At 52.6% G+C, this 21,028-nt stretch overlaps 1 protein-coding gene and 1 non-coding gene across 60 annotated transcripts in view, besides 3 other annotated features; both read right to left on the bottom strand.

The window, feature by feature from the left end:
- The window catches only part of TANGO2 (transport and golgi organization 2 homolog), a 50,142-nt gene that overhangs the window by 14,231 nt on the left and 14,883 nt on the right, over positions 1-21,028 (bottom strand). For 33 of the 59 annotated variants that reach the window (NR_136212.1, NR_136211.2, NR_136206.2 and 30 more), the window contains 3 exons: positions 16,080-16,174; positions 9,491-9,579; positions 350-469 (listed from right to left, as the gene is read on the bottom strand). Coding sequence is in view for 54 of the 59 variants with exons in the window: in XM_017028580.2 (XP_016884069.1) it covers positions 350-469; positions 9,491-9,579; positions 16,080-16,135 (265 nt within the window). In the remaining 5 variants the exon portion in view is untranslated. Of the gene's footprint in view, positions 1-349; positions 470-9,490; positions 9,580-15,839; positions 16,175-21,028 lie in introns of all 59 variants that reach the window. The other 26 variants (NR_104275.3, XM_047441121.1, XM_047441118.1 and 23 more) reach the window with 1 other exon arrangement.
- Positions 14,227-14,388: a silencer, noted in NCBI's record as "fragment chr22:20026069-20026230 (GRCh37/hg19 assembly coordinates)". NCBI's record gives its function as "represses an EF-1alpha promoter that drives an FKBP-Casp9 reporter gene in an ReSE screen in K562 erythroleukemia cells {active_cell/tissue: K562}" and the evidence as "EXISTENCE:reporter gene assay evidence [ECO:0000049][PMID:32094911]".
- Positions 18,678-18,747: an enhancer, noted in NCBI's record as "active region_18669". NCBI's record gives its function as "activates an Ori minimal core promoter by ATAC-STARR-seq in GM12878 lymphoblastoid cells {active_cell/tissue: GM12878}" and the evidence as "EXISTENCE:reporter gene assay evidence [ECO:0000049][PMID:35858748]".
- On the bottom strand, positions 19,714-19,795 carry MIR185 (microRNA 185). Its single transcript, NR_029706.1, has one exon. It is a non-coding gene; the product is annotated as a microRNA 185 (primary transcript).
- Positions 20,431-20,650: an enhancer, noted in NCBI's record as "active region_18668". NCBI's record gives its function as "activates an Ori minimal core promoter by ATAC-STARR-seq in GM12878 lymphoblastoid cells {active_cell/tissue: GM12878}" and the evidence as "EXISTENCE:reporter gene assay evidence [ECO:0000049][PMID:35858748]".

Below are 21,028 nucleotides of genomic sequence, written 5' to 3'. Positions count from 1 at the left end.
CTGTCTCTGCCGCATACCCCTGCAGCACACCTCAGTGGCGGCAGTGATATGCCCACGGAAGCCACCCACCTGCCACGGGGCCCAGCTTCCCCCTTCTTGTCCCCACCCTTACCTGGGCCCTGCCCTGCCACGCTTTGTCACCGCCCACTCTGTAACCTGGCCCTGCCCCACGGTACCTCAGCCCTGCCCCATCCCACTCCCAAGCACAAGCACCTTGGCACTTCCTACCTTGGCCCGCCCCACTCCACCATACATTGGCCAGTCCTGTAGTCCCTTGGCCCCACCTTGTCTCACCTAGGCCTGCCCCACCCCACCCTGTCTCACCTTGGCCCCACCCCACTCGCCTTACCTCGCCCTCGGGCCTGCCAGTCCAGCTGCGGCTGCAGGTAGTTGGTGAGTGCTGCCAGCTTGCCACGTGTGCTGATGCCCAGCCATGTGCCTCCTTCCTTGCCTTCCTCCATGTCCAGCCCTGTGGCAGATGACAGTGTTACCACCATTGATGCCACCCATTCCAGTCCCCCACCTGGTTCCCAGCCCTGGGAGACGCATACTCGGCCCAGCTCCTGCCTCAAGCTCCTCGAGGACGTTCGACATGCGGCTTGGCCCAGCAGCCCCAGCTATGGAATCGTGGCTGGAACTCTTCAAGGCCAGGCAGCCCCTGGGGTTCATGGGTCGTGCAAGTGAGATCCCTGTCCTGCAGGACAACTATGACACCAACCACACCTATCCCAACAGATGCCCTGCAGAACACATCCTTCCACTTGGGCCAGCGTCAAGGCTGAGGGGCAGCACTAGGCTCCAATCGCATGAATGGGGTGCAGGGACGCTGGCTGTCCTCACCCAGCAGGATGCACCAGGCCCAAAGGGCAGGCCCTTCACTAGGAGCCCAGCACACAACCAGGACCTTCACCCCCGCCAAATCTGCAGGGCATGGGCCACTGCTAATGCCACAAGGTTGGAGGGCTCTGAAAGCCACAGGAGGGCTCCTTCTTAGACCAGGGGGTCATTTTACCCAAAGATTGGGGCAAAAAAGGCTGTCATTAAGATGTTATTTTTATTATTTTATTTCATTTTTTATTTTTTTGAGACAGAGTCTCACTCTGTCACCCAAGCTGGAGTTCAGTGGCAATCACACAGTTCACTGCAACCTCCACCTCCCAGGCTCAAGCGATCCTCCCACCTCAGCCCAAGTAGCTGGGACCACAGGCAGGTACCATCACACTCGGCTGATTTTTGCATTTTTTTGTACAGACAAAGTTTTGCTGTGTTGCCCAGGCTTGTCTCGAACTCCTGGGCTCAAGCGATCCTCCCGACTCAGCCTCCCAAAGTGCTGGGATTACAGGAGTGAGCCACTGCACTGGCTAGGATGTTATTTTATTTATTATTGTTATTATTACTTTTTGAGACAGAGTTTCGCTCTTGTTGCCCAGGCTGGAGTGCAATGGTGTGCTCTCGGCTCACTGCAACCTCTCCCTCCTGGGTTCAAGCGATTCTCCTGCCTCAGCCTCCTGAGTAGCTGGAATTACAGGCATGTGCCATCACACCTGGCTAATTTTGTATTTTTAGTAGAAACGGAGTTTCTCCATGTTGGCCAGGCTGGTCTCGAATTCCCAACCTCAGGTGATCCGTCCGCCTTGGCGTCCCAAAGTGCTGGGATTACAGGTGTGAGCCACCGTGCCTGGCCCTAAGATATTATTTTTATAACAATAATTAATTATAACAGAAAAAGAAAAGATGTAAAGATCAAAAATAAAGAAATAAAACTGTATTTGTGGCCCCGTGCGGTGACTCACACCTGTAATCCCAGCCCTTTGGGAGGCCGAGGCGGGCAGATCACCTGAGGTTGGGAGTTCAAGACCAGCCTGACCAACATGGAGAAACACCATTTCTATTAAAGATACAAAATTAGCCAGGCGTGGTGGTGCATGCCTGTAATCCCAACTACTTAGGAGGCTGAGGCAGCCTATAATCCCAGCTACTCGGGGGGCTGAGGCAGGGGAATTGCTTGAACCCGGGAGGTGGAGGTTGCAGTGAGCCGAGATCACACCATTGCACTCTCAGCGAAACTCTGTCTCAAAAAAAAAAAAAAAACCCAACAAAACTGTATTTGCAACCAGCAGGATCATATATGAAGAAAACCCAAAAGGAATACCAAAACCGATGTATTAGAACTAATAAGTAAATGCTAGCAAGAACTGGAAAGTGAGCATTTAAATATACCATTTATAACAGCATTTTTAAAATCCTTAGTGTGATTAAAAAAAAAAAAAAAAGCCGGGTGCAGTGGCTCACGCCTGTAATCCCAGCACTTTGGGAGGCCAAGGCGGGCGGATCACGAGGTCAGGAGTTCGAGACCAGCCTGGCCAATATGATGAAACCCCATCTCTACTAAAAATACAAAAATTAGCTGGGCATGGTGGCAGGCACCTGTAGTTCCAGCTACTCGGGAGGCTGAGACAGGAGAATTGCTGGAACCCGGGAGGTGGAGGTTGCAATGAGCAGAGATGGCGCCATTGCACTCTAGCCTGGGCAACAGACCAAGACTCCGTCTCAAAAAAAAAAAAAAAAAAAAAAACCACCAGGAAAATATTTAATGAAAAATGAGTGACAAAGACTGAAAACTCCAGGGCACTGTTGAGGGTCTCAAGTTGAGCTGACCTGATTTAAGGAGAGACATGCATATTCACTGAAAGATTCAATAGTGTTTTTTTGTTTGTTTTTGTTTTTTAGAGTCTTGCTCTGTCGCCTAGGCTGGAGTGCAGTGGTGTGATCTCAGTTCACTGCAAGCTCCGCCTCCCGGGTTCAGGCCATTCTCCTGCCTCAGCCTCCCAAGTAGCTGGGACTACAGGTGCCCACCACCACACCTAGCTAATTTTTTCATATTTTTTTAGTAGAGACAGGGTTTCACCGTGTTAGCCAAGATGGTCTCGGTCTCCTGATCTCATGATCGGCCCGCCTCGGCCTTCCAAAGTGCTGGAATTACAGGCGTGAGCCACCGTGCCCAGCCTCAACAGTGTTTCTTCTTGTTATTATTTGTTTCACTGGGTACTTCTTAGACAACTCAGTATTGTTAAGGTGACACTTCTCCCCACATGACCCATAGATTCAAAACCTGCCCAGTCAAAATCCCAGGGGGCTTTTCGTTTTATAGCAATTAACAGACTGGCTGAAATATCTATGCATATGCAAAGGAACTGGGATGGCCAAAATAGTCCCGAAAAAGAAGGCAGACCCACATTGCCTGATTTCTTTTTTCTTTTTTTTTTTTTTTTTGAGACAGAGTTTCGCTCTTGTTACCCAGGCTGGAGTGCAATGGCGTGATCTCAGCTCACCGCAACCTCCGCCTCCCGGGTTCAAGTGATTCTCCTGCCTCAGCCTCCCGAGTAGCTGGGATTACAGGCATGGACCACCACACCCAGCTAATTTTGTATTTTTAGTAGAGACGGGGTTTCTCCATGTTGGTCAGGCTGGTCTTGAACTCCCAACCTCAGGTGATCTGCCCACCTCGGTCTCCCAAAGTGCTGGGATTACAGGTGTGAGCCACAGTGCTCAGCCTGATTTCAAGACTTACTAAAAAGCAGCAGCACTCATAGACTGCATGGTGTTGGCATCAAGACAGATACATAGATCAATGGGATACAACAGAGTCAGGAATAGACCCACACATATATGTTCAACTGATGTACAACCAAGTTGCCATAGTAATGAACTAGGCAAAAGATAATCCATTTAATAAATGATGCTGGAACAACTAGAGAGATTTGGGGGTTGGAGGCAGTAAATCTCAACCCCTACCTCACACCATGTACAAAACCTTGAGATAAATCATAGACCAAACATAAAAACAAAAATTAGGCTTCTAGAAGCAAATGGAGGAAAATATTGTTATATATTTTCCTCTGGGTAGGCAAAGACTTTTTGGATAAGGCACAAAAAGAACAACTCATAAAAGATAAGATAAACTGTACTTTGTTAAAATGAAATATTCTGGCCGGGCGCAGTGGCTCACGCCTGTAATCCTACCACTTTGGGAGGCCAAGGCAGGCAGATCAAGAGGTCAAGAGATTGAGCCCATCCTGGCCAACATGGTGAAACCCCATCTCTACTAAAAATACAAAAATTAGCTGGGCATGGTGGTGCATGCTTGTAGTCCCAGCTACTCAGGAGGCTGAGGCAGAAGAATCACTTGAACCTGGGAGGCGGAGGTTGCAGTGAGCTGAGATCGCACCACTGTACTCCAGCCTGGCAACAGAGTAAGACTCCACCCACTCAAAAGAAAAAAAAAAAATTCTGCTCACCATAAGCTATCATTAAGGAAATGAGTAGGCACAAAGGACTCATATCCAGAATGGGTAAATAACTCTTACAAATCAATAATTAAAACAAGAACAAAACTTCCAAATTGCCCAAGCAACAAGGACCAGATTTACCCTCCTGCATAAAACAACCAAAAAATAAATAAATAAATAAAACTCAAGAAACAATGGTGTATTTATTAGTCCATTCTCATGCTGCTACAAGGACATACCCGAGACTGGGTAATTTATAAAGGAAAGATATGTGACTCATAGTTCAGCATGGCTGGGGAGGCCTCAGGAAACTTACAATCATGGCAGAAGGGGAAGCAAACATGTCCTTCTTCACATGGTGGCAGGAAGGAGAAGTTCCAAGCAAAGCAGGAAAAGCCCCTTATAAAACCATCAGATCTTGGCTGGGAGCGGCAGCTCATGCCTGTAATGTCAGCACTTCGGAAGGCCGAGGCAGGCGGATCACCTGAGGTCAGGAGTTCGAGACCAGCCTGGCCAACATGGTGAAACCCCATCTCTACTAAAAATACAAAAATTAGCTGGGCGTGGTGGCAAGCGGCTGTAATTCCAGCTACTCAGGAGGCTGAGGCAGGAGAATTGCTTGAACCTGGGAGGTGGAGGTTGCAGTGAGCCGAGATCGCACCATTGCACTCCAGCCTGGGTAACAAGAGCGAAACTCAGTCTCAAAAAAAAAAAAACAAAACACTATCAGATCTCATGAGAACTCACTATCATGAGAATAGCAGCATGGGGGTAATGCCCCATGATTCAATTACCTCCCACTGGGTCTCTCCCAGGACATGTGGGGATTTGGGGAACTATAATTCAAGATGAGATTTGGGTGGAGACACAGCCAAACCATATCAAATGGGTTTTACAAAAAAGGATATGACAGACAGGAAACAAAGTGAGCCCATGATTAGAGAGGCTCCAGGACCCAGCCCAGGGAGTGGGGGGACCAGGCCGAATTCAGCAGACTCCCTGAGCTGAGAAGAGGGGCTTAGTGTTTGGGGAAACTAAGACAACCAGAGTTCATGGCTGCCATAGTTTGGATGTTTGTCCCCCAGACCTCATGTTAAAATCTGATCCCCGGGCTGGGTGAGGTGGCTCACGCCTCTAATCTCAGCATTTTGGGAGGCTGAGGCGGGTGGATTGCCTGAGGTCAAGAGTTCGAGACCAGCCTGACCAACATGGTGAAACCCCGTCTCTACTAAAAACACAAAAAATTAGCTGGGCATGGTGGCAGGCGCCTGTAATCCCAGCTACTCAGGAGGCTGAGGCAGGAGAATTGCTTGAACCTTGGAGGCGGAGCTTGTGGTGAGCCGAGATCGTGCCATTGCACTCCAGCCTGGGCAACAAGAGTGAAACTCTGTCTCAAAAAAAAAAAAAAAAAACAAACAAACCAAAAAACTGATCCCCAGTGTTGGAGGTGGGGTCTAATGGGAGACAGATCTACCTAATGGCAGATCCTTCATGAACGGCTTGGTGTTGTCCTCACAGTGATGAGTTCTAGCTCTATTAGTTCCTTTGAGAACTGGTTGTTTAAAAGAGCGTGGCGCCTCCTCCCTCTCTCTGGCTTCCTCCCTCCGTGTGTGATCTGCACATACCACCTCCCCTTCCCCTTCCACCATCAGTAGAAGCTTCCTGAGGCCTGCATCAGAAGCAGATGCTGACACTGTGCTTCAGGTCCCCTGTAGAACTCTAAGCCAAATAAACCTCTTTTCTTTATAAATTACCCAGCCTTGTGGATCACTTGAGGTCAGGAGTTTGAGACCAGCCCAGCCAACCTGGTGAAACCCCATCTCTACTAAAAATACAAAAATTGGGCTGGGGGAAGGATAGCGTTAGGAGAAATACCCAATGTAAATGATGAGTTGATGGGTGCAGCAAACCAACATGGCACATGTATGTATACCTATGTAACAAACCTGCACGTTCTGCACATGTACCCTAGAACTTAAAGAATAATAATAAAAAAATACAAAAATACAAAAATTAGCAGGGTGTGGTGGCAGGTGCCTGTAATCCCAGCTACTCAGGAGGCTGAGGCAGGAGAATCACTTGAACCTGGGAGGTGGAGGTTGCAGTGAGCCAAGGTCGCACCATTGCACTCCAGCCTAAGCGACAGAGCAAGACTCTGTCTCAAAAAAAAAAAAAAAAAAAAAATTACCCAGCCTTGGCTGGGCACCATGGCTTATTATCTGTAATCCCAGCACTTTCGGAGGCCAAGAAAGGAGGGTCACTTCAGGCCAGGACTTTGAAACCAGCTTGTGCAACACAGCAAGGCTTTGTCGCTACAAATTATTTTTAAAAATTAGCTGGGCATGGTGATGTGCACTTGTAGTCCCAGCTACTAGGGAGGCTGAGGTGGGAGGATCACTTGAGGCCAGGAGTTAGAGGCTGCAGTGAGACAGGATTGTGCCACTGCACTCCAGCCTGGGCAACAGAGTGAGACCCTATCTCAAAAAAAAAGAAAAAAATTACCCAGACTCAGCTTTTTCCTTTAGAGCAACACAAACGAACTAAGACAGTGGCACAAAAGTCCAGAGAGGAAGGAGCTACACAGAGAATGTCTGATCAGCATCTCAGGGAGGAGACTATATGACACTGGGGCAAGAACCACCAGTGCTCACACAGGGCAGGGAGTAGGGCTGGCTCCCAGACACCAGGCTGGAAAACCTCAAGATCTAGGGGCACCGAGAAAAGTACGCAGAGAGCATCGCAGAGGTGTGGGACAAGGGCAAGTGAACTAATATATGTGTGTAACTGGAGAGAAGGAGAGAGTGAGAGAGAAGACAGAAAAACTACTTGAAAAAGTAATGGCCGCTGGGTGCAATGGCTCATGCTTCTAATCCCAGCACTTTGGGAGGACAAGGCGGGCGGATCACCTGAGGTCGGGAGTTCAAGGCCAGCCTGACCAACATGGAGAAACCCCATCTCTACTAAAAATACAAAATTAGCCTGGTGTGGTGGTGCATGCCTGTAATCCCAGCTATTAGGAAGGCTGAAGCAGGAGAACAGCTTGAACCCGGGAGATGGAGGTTGCGGTGAGCTGAGATGGCACCATTGCACTCCAGCCTGGGCAACAAGAGCAAAATTCCATCTCAAAAAAAAAAAAAAAAAAAAAGAAGTGATGGCCAAATTTTTATGAATTTAATGATTTTGATTTGCATTTCTTTTCTTTTTTTTCAGACAGGGTCTCACTCTGTTGCCTAGGCTAACTGCAGTGGCTCAGTCTCGGTTCACTGCAGCTTCTACCTTCCAGGCTCAGGCGATCCTCCCACCTCAGCCTCCTGAGTAACTGGGACAACAGGCATATGCCACCACAGCTGGCTAATTTTTTTTTTTTTTTTTGTAAAGACAGGGACTCACTACGTTGCCCAGGCCGGTCTCAAGCTCCTGGCCTCAAGGGATCCTCCTGCCTTGGACTCCCAAAGTGCTGAGATTACAGGTGTGAGCCACCGGCCCAGGGTGATTTCATTTCTAACAAGTTCTCAAGTAAAGCTGGTGCTACAGGCCCAAGGACCACACCTGGAGAACCACTGTCCTAAACTTTTGCATACAATCCGGTGACGCCAGAGAGTGAGAGGATGTGGGCCTTAGTGATATGGTCACCCCGACACTTGGCAGAAGCCCGTGTACATCCATGCACCAGCTGCCACCATCAAAACACCACAGGGGTGAACAATTCCACAAGACTGGAGCTGCTGGGGTTGGCACTAGTTCAGAGGCAGCTGACAGACCTGGGTGCCAGGGTGGGATGGAGCCCAGGAGGGCACAATAGTCAAGGAACCAGAAGAGGGTAACCCTCTGAGCCGCCACATCTTCATCTATGAAAACCTTCCACCTTCCAAGGACATCAGTCTTGTGCCTTCACCCACCCGTCCTGACCAGCCCTGCACCCACTGCATCCTCCTATACCAGCAGGCCTAGGACCACCCTGCCTCAGTCTCCATGCACCCGTCCTCCTCCCACACGGTGCCGGGACCACCCAGCCTCAGCAGCATTCTCACACTACTGCCAGGCCACAGGCCTACACAGGAGTCCTCACAAAACCCCACAGCTGAGCTTTTATTTGATTGATTGATTGACTGATTGAATGAGACAGGGTCTCGCTCTGTCACCCATGCTGGAGTGCAGTGGCACAATCTCAGCTCACTGAAACCTCTGCTTTCCGGGCTCAGGCAATTCTCTAGCCTCAGCCTCCTGAGTAGCTGGGGCCACAGGCACATGCCACCACGCCTGGCTAATTTTTGTATTTTTTTTTGTAGAGACAGGGTTTTACCATGTTGCCCAGACTGGTCTTGAACTCCTGGGCTCAAGTAATCCTCCTGCCTCAGCCTCCTTAAGTGTTGGGTTCACACCTATAATCCCAACACCTGCCCTCCCGGCCTGGGAGGCAGCACAGGGCACACACAGCCTCCATGGGCCCACGAGGTCACACATCTGGCCTGAGTGGGCACCCTGGAGCATGCCAGGATGCCTCGGGCCCACTTGGCGCCTGGTACGCAGGCAGAGTAACCCGTGGCCTCACCAGCCATCTATGCGCACCTTCCAGGTAGACTCCCACCACCCCATGGGCAGGAACTGGTTCCTGTCCAACAGGACTTCAATGAGGCTGGTATCTTTGGTGGGGAGGACCTGGTTCTCACCCCTACTTCTGCCCTATAAGTACACCTAATGCAACACAGGCATGGTGCAGGTGACGGGGCTTCAGCACCACCAGCTTCCCAAACTCAGCCCCACCATCCCTGAAGCAAGGGTGCTCATATACAAACAGAAACACAAACACAGGCACACACACGCACGCATACACACGCATGCACACACTCATATGACTGGGTTGCTTCACAAAGTGACTGAGTGTGGATCTGTACATCACACAAATCCACCCACATGCCCTCAGCAAAAAGGAGGGATCCATATAAAACCAACTGATGCTTTCACATGATGGGGCCCCCATGCAGACGCATGGCACAGGAAGCCACGCAGACAGTGCTGGGTGGGCAGCTCTGGCAATGCCCGGTGCTGGGGCTGGCCCCGACCACGAGCCCCATCAGTTCCACCTCTACACCCCGCCATCACACTTGGAAGCAGCACCACTCAGTTAGGGTCACTCGGGCCACGCAGGGGCTAGGGAAGCAACAAGGCGCAGCCACCGCTGAGCACGCAGGAAGACTCACCACTGAGGATCTCGTTGTTGTTCCCCCAGAAGTCAGCTAACTTGGAGGGTCGGCTGTAGAATTCATCCCTGTTGGCTGCCAAGATGAGCCTGCAAGAGGAAAGCATCACTGATGGCTTCAGATGGAAACGAGCGAGCCAAGTCTTTTTCTCTTTTCACACACAAAACTGGCCTCAGTGGCAACAAGGGCCAGTCTCAGAGAGGGCAGGAAGCCGGCAGTCCTGCTGCACCCACACTGGAGGAAGGAGCACCGTGGCTCCAGGTGAGCTCTCGGGAGCCTGCAGCTGGGACCGCACGGGAAACAGGAGGATGCTAGGCAGGGACACACATCCACACCATTCAATGGCGGGAGACGGGTCTGCCAGGCCCTTAGGGGCACCATGGAGCCTGGGCTCCATGCCGGGAGCCCAGGCTGGAGGGTGGGGGGCTGTTCCTCCTTCTGTCCATCTGTCCCCAGCCCTGGGAACACCCACAACAAACCCGTGGGCTCTTGGAAGCGTGAGCTCAAGGATACAGATTGAATGGCACAGCATGTGGGCCTCTGAGGGCTGCTCCATTCTGTGTGTTTTGGAGTTAATTTCTCGGGTTGGTTGGGAGTGGATGGGAACTTCACTGTTTTACTAGTTTTTTTGCATTATGAATCAAACAAATATTTCCATTTTTATTTATTTTTATTTTTTGAGATGGAGTCTCTCTGTGTCACCCAGGCTAGAGTGCAGTGGCGTGACATCGGCTCACTGCAACTCCCGCCTCCCGGGTTCAAGCTATTCTCCCGCCTCAGCCTCCTGAGTAGCTGGGATTACAGGCACCCGCCACCACACCCAGCTAATTTTTTGTATTTTTAGTAGAGATGGGGTTTCACCATGTTGGCCAAGCTGGTCTTGAACTCCTGACCTCAAATGATCTACCCGCCTCGGCCTCCGAGGCGGAGGATTACAGGTGTGAGCCACCACATCCAGCCTAATCAAACAAATATTTCTTTTGGAATTAGGAGAGACATCTAAACTTTAAGAGCCCTGGTCTTGAGGAAAGAAAACTGACTTTCAAGTCCCAGCTTGGACATTAGAAGAAAACAAATAAGGACACAGCAGTGACTGAGTGGAAGGGGTCAGTTCCTGCAATGTCCATTAGACCTGAGGGTCTAAGAAGCGATGGCTGGGCCAGGCACAGTGGATGACACCTGTAATCCCAGCAGTTTGGGAGGCCAAAGTGGGAGGATCACTTGAGGCTAGGAGTTTTGAGACCAGCTTGGGCAAGAAAGTAAGACCCCATATCTACAAAAAAAAAATACAAAAATTAGTCAGGTGTGGTGGTGCATGCCTGTATTCCCAACTACTGGGGAGGCTGAGGCAGCAGGATCATTTGAGCCCAGGAGTTTGAGGCTGCAGTGAACTGTGACTGCACCATTGCACTCCAACCTGGGGAACAGAGAAGCCCTGTCTCTAAAAAAAAAAAAAAAGTGATGGCTGAAGACCCCCTGAGCACTTGTGCCGGAGAGGCAGCTCCAAGGAGCAGAGCTCAGCTGTCCTGCCATCACAATCTGAGTCTGAAACCAAGTTGCAGTGGTGAGAGCCCGACAAGTGTTTAAAAATAATTTCCATATTGATCATTGCACATCAATTTCATAAAACAACATTTGCTCCTGATTAAATGTGAAATAACAGACATTCATAAAATTGGGAGTGAAAGTGGTGCTCACAGCTGGGTACGGTGGCTCATGCCTGTAATCCCAGCATTTTGCGAGGCCGAGGTGGGTGGATCATGAGGTCAGGAGTTCAAGACCAGCCTGGCCAAGATGGTGAAACCCCATCTCTATTAAAAATACAAAAATTAGGCCGGGCCCGGTGGCTCACGCCTGTAATCCCAGCACTTTGAGAGGCCAAGGTGGGAGGATCACGAGGTCAAGAGATCGAGACCATCCTGGCTAACACGGTAAAACCCCGTCTCTACTAAAAATACAAAAAATTAGCCAGGTGTGGTGGCGGGCGCCTGTAGTCCCAGCTACTCGGGAGGCTGAGGCAGGACAATGGTGTGAACCCGGGAGGCAGAGTTTGCAGTGAGCCGAGATCATGCTACTGTACTCCAGCCTGAGTGACAGAGCAAGACTCCGTCTCAAAAAAAAAAAAAAAAAATTAGCCGGGTGTGGTGGCGGGCGCCTGTAATCCCAGCTGCTCGAGAGGTTGAGGCAGAGAATTGCTTGAACCCGGGAGGCGGAGGTTGCAGGGAGCTGAGATCGTGCCACTGCACTCTAGCCTGGGCGACAGAACGAAACTCCATTTCAAACAAAAAAGTACATGGTGCTAGCACCCACCATTCATGCCCTTGGAGGCATTCACACCTGTGTGCACATGTGTGCCCCCCACTCAGTGCCTGCCCCTGAAGCTTCTTGCCAGCAGAACTGGGGAAATGCTTTTGGTCATTGCCAGGGACTGTGCCATGCCCTAGAGCCCTTGGGGTCTGCTATGGAAGCCTTACCACCTCCAGGGTGCCCCATTCAGCCTGGTCTGACACCCAGCTGGCCCCAGGGCTGCACCAGGTCTCAGGGATGTGCTGCCTGGGGTAGGGGGAGGTGGTCTCTGTCCCTGATGAGCCTCAGCCTTTGTACCTCTAACTGCCATGTTTCAACCCAGACCCAGCCCAAGTCTCCATGTCCCTTCTGGGCAGAAGTGCCCCCCAACCTCTGCAGCAGGGATGGCAGGAGAGCCCACCTTCCCTGGGCTGGACAGTGCTAGTAGAAGGCAGTGCACTTGCCCCAGACCTGGATGGGCCAGTCCTGTAGGTGCCCATTGGTTGTGTCCTGGCCAGCGGGCAGGAGAAGGGGGAACACCGCAGTCCCTGAGTGCTATGGTGGGGATGTGCCAGGGTCTGGGATGACAGCTCCTCCACCCTATGGGTGGGGTCAAGCTCCATGTGGTTCTGCTCAGCATTCTCTCTTAAATACCTTCCTCCTCTGCTTCCACGTCCCACAGCCCTGCAGGTGAACAGGGGTCGGGGGAGCCAGGGACACCTCATCCCAGTCCAGCCCCAAACCAGGCTGGGGCTGTTGGCTTCGGGTGCTGATTCTGACATAATGCTCTTACAAAGGGAAAATAAAGGGGAGAAAAGTAGGAAGAAAAGCTGACTGAGCATGGACTTTTGTCCTAAGATGTTCAGCTGTCTGTTTTTAAACAAGGAGCAATTATATATGTTTGCCTAATAACTCAGGAACATTAATTGCCAGGTTATTTTTGTTCCAGCAGTCATGTTTAGCTGAATTGCTGGTGGTTTGCCAGGGATTTCATTGAATACATAATTCAGGGACAAGCCAGCATGCTGAGCACCCAGATCAAGCCCCAAAGGGAGGAGGAAGTAGCTCTCTCAGTCATCACTGGTGGGGCTGCACATGGGTAGAAGCCTATCTGCGCCCCACGTCCAGAGAGACAGGGATGCACCCACCACGGTGAGGTCCCTGAGGATGGCAAGTCACCTCGGCTTTATTTTGTTCCAATAACTGAAACCACTAATTATCCATCACCACCTGACACCCACGCTGCTAGGCAGGGTGAGTGCGTGTACTGTCCGGGGGGTATGTGCATCATCTCGGGGGGTGAGTGTGTTCTGCCGGGGGGTGAGTGTGTGCACTGTCTGGGGGACAGTTTGGTGACAGATAGGAGGTACTCTGGCCTGAGATCCAGTGATCAAACCCTCAGTGGTGACCCCATGGAAGCTGTCCCATGGAGTAACAGCTTGTCCTGCAGCCACTCTAGGCTGAAGCCAGCAAGTGGCATCACGTGGGGCTGTAAACAGGCAGGTTTTTTTTCGTTTTTTCTTTTTTTTAAGATGGAGTCTCACTCTGTCATCCAGGCTGGAGTGCAGTGGCGCTATCTCAGTTCCCTGTAACCTCTGCCTCCCAGGCTCAAGCAATTCTCCTGCCTTAGCCTCCCTAATAGCTGGGATTACAGGTGTGCGCCACCATGCCAGGCTAATTTTTGTATTTTTAGTAGAGATGGGGTTTCACCATGTTGGCCAGGCTGGTCTCGAACTCCTGACCTCAAGTGATCCACCCACCTCAGCCTCCCAAAGTGCTGGGATTACAGGCGTGAGCCACCGCACCCGGCTGTAAACAGGCAGTTTTGAAAGAGATAGGGTGACATCATGAAGTGATTGTGTTATCTTGCTGCAGGGTCTTGGTTTTCCGTGATGGGTATCAAATTACCAAATACAGTGGCCGAGGCCGGGCATGGTGGCTCACGCATGTAATCCCAGCATTTTGGGAGGCTGAGGCAGGAGGATCACTTGGGCCCAGGAGTTCGAGACCACCCTGGACAACATAGTGAGAACTTGTCTCTACCAAAAAAAAAAAAATTAGCCGGGCATGGTGTTGTAGTCCCAGTTACTTAGGCATGCTGAAGTGGGAGGATCGCTTGAGCCGGCGAGTTTGAGGCTGCAGTAAGCTATGATCATACCACTGTACTCCAGCCTGGGCAACAGAGCAAGATCCTGTCTCTAAAATAATAATAATAATAATAAAAAAAAAAAACATAGTGGCCTAAAGCACCCTACTTTTTACTCCAGTCCACAGGTGAGGAGTCCAGCCCAGCCTAGCTGGGTACCTGTACGAGGCCTCCCAAAGTGCTGCAGAGGTGCTGTCAGGGGCTCCATAGAAGTGTCTGTGCTCCCAGCCTGCAGCGTGCCCTTCCCCTGGCTGGACACCCCACAGGCAGAGCAGAAGCAGCCACCAGAAGTGTCTCACACCCTCCCATGAAGTCAGGAAAACACAGCGCACATTTGCTCAGTCACCCAGAGGTGGCACATTTCGTCTTTGGCTTAGGGCTTCGGAAAATAGTCCAGAGAAATCCCGAGGCCAACTGGAATGGCAGGACCCGCAGGACAGGTCCTGGCAGCAACACACGGGTTCTGAGTGAAAGCAAGAGGGGCCCATGTCAACCCTCCTCCTCTCCACCCAAGGGGCTGGGTGGCACTGACCAGCACCCGCAGGCCAGCCATCAAGCTTCCTTTCCAGAGATGGGAGCACTCGGGGTGGGTTGAGTCTCTTCAGCAGCCTGCAGGAGGCAGCCCTGAAACGCATACAGAGCTGGCTGGCTCTCCTCAGCGTGCTAGTTTCCTGGGGCTGCCGTAACTAAGCACCACAGACCAGGCGGCTGCAACAACAGACACTATTGTCTCGCAGCATTGGATGCTGGAGATCCAAGATCAAGGCGTCAGCAGGGCTGGCTCCTTTTGAGGGTCTTCTCGGTATGCAGACGACTGCTTCTATCTCTGTATACACACCAGCTTCCCCTGTGCGTATCTGAGTCACCCATCACATTGATTAGGGCCTACCCACATGACCTTATTTTACCTTCATCTTTTTTTTGAGATGCAGTCTCGCTCTGTTGCCCATGCTGGAGTGCAGTGGCGCAATCTCGGCTCACTGCAAGCTCTGCCTCCCAGGTTCACGCCATTCTCTTGTCTCAGCCTCCCAAGTGGCTGGGACTACAGGCGCCCACCCCCATGCCCAGCTAATTTTTTTGTGTGTTTTTAGTAGAGATGTGTTATCCAGGATGGTCTGGATCTCCTGACCTTGTGATCCGCCCACCTTGGCCTCCCAAAGTGCTGGGATTACAGGCGTGAGCCACCGTGCTCGGCCAGCCCCTACATTCTTTAGAGTTCTGTTCACTCACTAGCCAGCCCAACACTACTCCAGTCCCTGTAGCAGTCAATAGTTCTTTCCTAACATTTCTTCCACCTTCCCTGCAGCATGCTGTCTGCTGCTGGGACCTGCCACTCACCCAACTGCAAAAAGGGAAAACACCAGACACCCTTCCTTCCTGATTCCTTGGCCTGAAATGACTTCACTCAGCCTTGAAGTCAAGCAGCATGGTGTCTATGCAACTTTGCAGTGACTCAAATCTGAGACCCTCTTGAAATGGTTCAAATCATTTCTGGTACAGATTTTAAAATGATGAAAACTTCCCGAGCAGTTGCATTAGAGAGTGGTTACACGTTTCATTTTAGATGTGGGTTATATCTCTGCCTCGTTCTCTGTGTGGATAAATGCTGGGGTGTCCTGGGGAATGGAGGTGTGGCCGTCCTGAGTCCAGGGTCAGGGGTGGCTTCTGGCCTCGATTTCCTGACTCCTCTGGCTGGTCCTCAGCGTCCCCTCTTCCCCAGGTTCTTTTTCCTCAGCTCAGGACCCACCCACAGACCCCTAGCCTGGCCGCCACTTTGACTTCTCACCAGCAGCTGTGACCCGCCAGCCCAAGCTGGCTCTCACTCACTGACGCCGTTGTCCCAGTTCTGCCGCCCGACCCTCCTCAAAGCCCATAGAACTGCAGCCCACCTGGACCCATGTCACTCCTCTGTCCTACCTGTGGCTGCCTTCTGTGGCTGAGTCTTCACGTCTTTGTACATTGACTGGAGTCCCCGCCCCGAGAGGCATTCTGACAGCATCCCACACTGAGTGACCCTGTCCTGGAGGGCAGTGCCAGGCCTGTGCAGCCCCGTCCTGGCCCACACACCTTCCTGCACACAGCAGCTTGGGTGGCATGAGAACTGGCTGGGCACCCAGGACCCTGCAGGGCGCAGCAGATGCAGAGCGAGGGGGTTACCTGTACGCGTTTTTGGAAACAGGGCGAGGATCAAACTTAAAGAAGATGATGCACATGGTGGTGCAGGGCGGCTCTGCTGACACAGGTCGCGAGGTCTGCGGGAAAAGGAAAACACTGAGTTGAGCGGATGGCAGACACTCAGGGCTGCCCTCCGAACCTGCAACAGGCCAGAACAGAGAGAACCACCTCTGTGGTGTCTGTACTACTTGCTGGGTGTGGGGGAACTGGACACCACACTCTTGGCCGGTGCCACACAAACAACTCCCAAACCCATGCACTCATTGGCACTGGCCAGACTGTCTCTCCACCACCTGCAACACCAGCCCTGAACAGAAGCATCCCATCAGCACCATGGTAGTCTTAAGGCCTGGACACACCGAGCTGGGGTGCCGAGGGGGTCCCCGGGGGGCAGCAGAAGTGAGGGCAGGAGCCACACTGTGAGAAACAAACTTACCCATCCAAATCTAAAGAATGAACTCAGACCCAGAGAACAGCGAAAGTGAGACTTTTAATGACAGTCTTGCAAGATCAGGTGTCAGACAGGCACACCCAGCACAGTTTCGACAAGCAATTTATCCCCTAGTACGCAGGTCCCTCCCCCAGTTCCTCATAGGCCGAGTACTGTGGGGTCACAATTTTCCCGGACGTCGCCTATTAATTGTTGGGTAGGGGCTTCAGGTGTTTTTTTGGGGGCTTGTCTTGCTGTATTTTGTTGCAGCCCACAATGCATTGCAGTCCTAGTTAGCTCAGGGACTTTTTAAGTATTTAACTTACGACCTAAGTAGCAGGCAGGCTGATAAGAACAGACAAAATGAGCTATTTTGCAGGCTAGTAAACTTTCAGCTTAGACTGAACTTCTTTGGTTCGGGTGAAGGCAACTAAGTGCGGGGAAAGTGGAGGCCGACAAGCACACATCAGCTATCCAAGCAGGGTGGCCTAGTATATCCTGTTTCTTCTGTAGTTTGCTGAGCTAAGCCAATTTAAGACACTTTGTCTTGGAAATAGACCACTGTATACATTCTTCCTTCAAGACTGTCCCCCACATGCACATCTCCTCCCCTGCAACAGCACCAAACCCACCCCACACGCCACCAGTGGGGGCAGCCCTGCCTCCGCCTCCAACAGCATGGCCCACTCACCTGGGATGCAGGCCCTACAGGTCCTGCTCAGCACACACACTCGCCATCCCACAGGACCCGAAGGCCCCACACACCCACAGCAGCTGGCATGGACACGTGCCGGGGACACGCTGGGTGACTGCACACTTAGCATACACCTCGTCCCCACCCAGGGACCTCTGGGGCCCAGAGCAGGCAGTTTTCCACAATGCAAACGAGTGCAGAACGGAGATTAGATTCCGAGGCCACCCAAGGGTGACACCCAAGTTCCCTGAAATGTGCACATGTGCAATGATTTAGTGACACGGCTCCAGGGCAGAGCCAGTGCTCACAGCTGGGACATGGGACAGCCAAGAAGCTGTTCAAATACTGAAGAGACCCAAAAAGATTCCTCTGAGAAAAGTCTAATGAGTGGGGACGGAGGTGAAGAGGGCTCAGTGTATGTGCCTCCATAGGCACGGGCATTAGGGATGGCCATTGGGGACCATCTGCTCCAGTGAGGAGCTGGTGGCTGTGCAGTTGAAGTATTGGGATAGCAATAAGCGCCACGTGCAGACGCACTGGGTCAGGGGGATGGGCAGCCATTTGAGATGGTCTGCTGGCCACCACTCTGCATAGGATGGGAAGCTAAAGGGTGTGTTGTTGCAAGGGGGCCCTGTGGGAAGCAGACTGTGGGGCTGGAAGTGGGTTGGGTCCCCTTGCCGGGTGCCCTGGAAGCGCCCACAGGGGGCCATCATCCGAGGGTGGGCAGGCTACTAGGGGCAATCCTTTTGGTAAAAACAACTCAAGATGCTGGATGAAATATGAAAACATCTTAAAAATTGCCAGGAGCTGATGAGCTCATGCAGCATTTGGCCAACAGTTCGGAGAGCGTGGCCCACAGAGGACAGCAGAACACAGTGGCCAATCCTGCCTGAGAGCGTTTGCCCACTGAACACACTGGGGCTCATACTCTGGTGGCCTCGGGGGCGAAGGAGACAGAAGACAAGGTCCAGTCACCCCCACAGGATGAAGAACCTAACAGAAGACTCTCCTCTAAGTTAGGCTGGGACTCCAAAGAGCGATGCTTAGGGAGAGATGAACTACAGCCGCAGCCACCCCCAGGGGTTATGGGGACATTGCACATAAGTGAAGGGAAGTTTCTGAGAAGCTGTGGCACAGCCAGCCGTCCAGGTCCACACTGGGGGTACAAGGACCCACAAGCCAAGCACAGTTTTAAGGGGTTCCAGCACTCGTAGTGCCCCTGTGCCTGAAGTTCTCTCTGGAGAAAGATACCTTCATCCTATACTTCAAAGAAGTCTCAAAATCATTTTTCAAAGACCAGAAGCAGTACATAGTCAGAAAGAACCACATAATGAAAGAAGCACCATGAGCAAGAACCAGCAGAAAGATAACCGTACATGCATCATCAACCAACCATGCTCTGATGGCAGAAAGAAAACAGACAGCTCAGAAACATCTGCAGGGCAAAGGAAGTGATGAAGAGCAAACTGGGTTTACAAAGCAGCAAAAGGAACTCGGTTTTTTTTTGTTGTTGTTGTTTTGTTTTTGCTCCTGTTGCCCAGGCTGGCTGGCATAATCTCGGCTCACCGCAACCTCCGCCCCCCGAGTTCAAGCAATTCTCCTGCCTCAGCCTCCCGAGTAGCTGGGATTACAGGCATGCGCCACCACGCCCAGCTAATTTTGTATTTTTAGTGGAGACGGGGTTTCTCCATGTTGGTCAGGCTGGTCTCCAACTCCTGACCTCAGGTGATCCACCCACCTCGGCCTCCCAAAGTGTTAGGATTACAGGCATGAGCCACCATGCCTGGCCAAAAGAACTCTTAGGAAGCTATTTTAGAAATGAAAGCTTCAGTGACTGCACATTAAAGCTCAGCTGTGGGTTTAAGAGCAATCAGGTGCAGCTGATGATGCAGAACCATCCCGAATGCAGTGCAGGAAGATGGGGAACACGCTGGGCTTTGGGAGTGCACCCAAGGTGCCACTGATGGGGTGGGCCCAGCACTCACCATGTGGCCAGAAGACACAAGTCCCTTTACTCTGGAGGAGCTGGTCTTTCCTGCACATGAGAACCCCTGGCTGCAGTCACTGGAGAAGCCCTGCCAGCTGGTCTCTACTGGAATCCCACTGGCCTGGAGCCCAGGGCTGCCCAAGGCCTGCTCACCAGGGACATGCTCCTCTGGGGTGTTAGAGAAGGCCGTTGGTCTCAATCAACTTCAGCCGACCTCAGCCCTCCCTGGGCTGCACGCCCAGCTGCTGGCAAGGCCATGGATGAGGGCAGTTCTGGCCACTGATACACGTAGGACAGACAGGCAGAAAGGCACCCCCAGTTCAGCTGCAGGACCCCACCATCCTAGCTGGCCAGGGTGCAGGGGCAGCAGACCAGCCCTCCAGGCACCAGTGGCAGGGAGGGCTCCATGGTCCAAGGGAAGGCCATAAACAGATCTCCGGACAGCCTGGCACTGGAGGTGTGGGCGCAGAGCCAAGGGCTGTGGCCTCGACGAAGACGCGGTCATTGGGAGGGAAGGACCAGAGGAAAGCCAGCCCCTGGGGAGGGGACCATCAGGAACTGCCTTTCTCTCCAATCCCTCGCCCCCTGCTCGAGCCAGGCCCACTGCCCACCGGCCCCCAACCCAGCTCTAGCCAGCAGGTCTCCCCCTCCCCCTGCCAGCTTCACCTCCCCCGACCTGTGACCTTGCCTTTGCCTGGGCCCCTGTGTGCTCCCTAAGCCAAGCCCTGCAGGTTCCCTAGGTCCTACAAGGTCCCCACACAGGCCCACCACAGCATTCCAACACCCTCTCATGCCTGCTGACTTGCCAGGCTCTGGGAGGGAGCCATGGATATAGTCCTTGTCCTTTTGGTCACCATATCTTGATCTGGGCGCAGGGCATGTGGGCACACGGGTGGCCAGGACCACTTCCCACAACTTCCACAGGTCCCATCACACCAGGTGAGGCTGGGCTCCTCAGGGCATCTCTTGTGCCACACAGAGCTCGCCCTCAAGGTTGCCCGAATTGGCCAACTCTACAGGAGGGTTGGTGTCCCAGGGAGAATCGTGCCTGGCTTTCCAGGTGAGGCTCCGCCCTGCCTGTCCCCACCCCTGCCCTGGGCTCAGCACTTGGGCCAAGCCCAACCAACTCTCAGCATGTCCTTGGCAGTCCAAGAAGGCCAGAGTGGTCAAAGCCATGCAGGGTTGGCCCTGAGGCCCAGGCGGCCAGAACCAGACCACAAAGAGCAGCTGGAGGAAGAGGCAGGCAGGAGGGTCTGGGGTCCAGTCAGCAGCCTTGCCCTGGGTCTCAGAGGCCACAGCCCAGAAGCATCTGAACATCTGCAGGAAGCCACGCCCAGTCTCTGCATCCTGCACAGGACCCCGCCTGCCCCAAGGGGCTAAGACCACCAGGGCAGCCTGCACACAACCACCAGGCTTGCAGAAGCAGTCAGATGGCCACACGCCCATCCTCTCCAGGCGGAAAATGCTTACCCCTCTCCATTCTGTCAACTGGCCTCACGGCCACCGGGATAGCAGTTGGGCAAGTAGGTTACAGGGCGGGTGGGGCAGGTGACGCAAAACCTGGCTGCCAGGGCGGGTCCAACCCCAACCGGAAGGAGGCTGGGCCAGGGCACCACAGGTGGGAAGATGCTGATGAGCTCCTCCCTGTGCTGTGTGCTCTGCAGCTGTGATCTCATCTCAAGAGTCCCAGGTCACATGGCAGGGATGGGCAAGGTGAGCCTGGAGGGGCTCATGGTGGGGCACCTGCTGGTTGGGCTAGAGGTGAAGAAGCAGTGAGCTGGCCACCCCGAGCAGGCACACGTGGGATGCTGGGATCAAGT

The sequence above is a fragment of the Homo sapiens genome, chromosome 22 (genome assembly GCF_000001405.40).
Source record: "Homo sapiens chromosome 22, GRCh38.p14 Primary Assembly".
Taxonomy (NCBI): domain Eukaryota; kingdom Metazoa; phylum Chordata; class Mammalia; order Primates; family Hominidae; genus Homo; species Homo sapiens.
The sequence above is the reverse complement of the archived record's forward strand: the minus strand, read 5'-3'. Positions and strand labels throughout refer to the sequence as shown.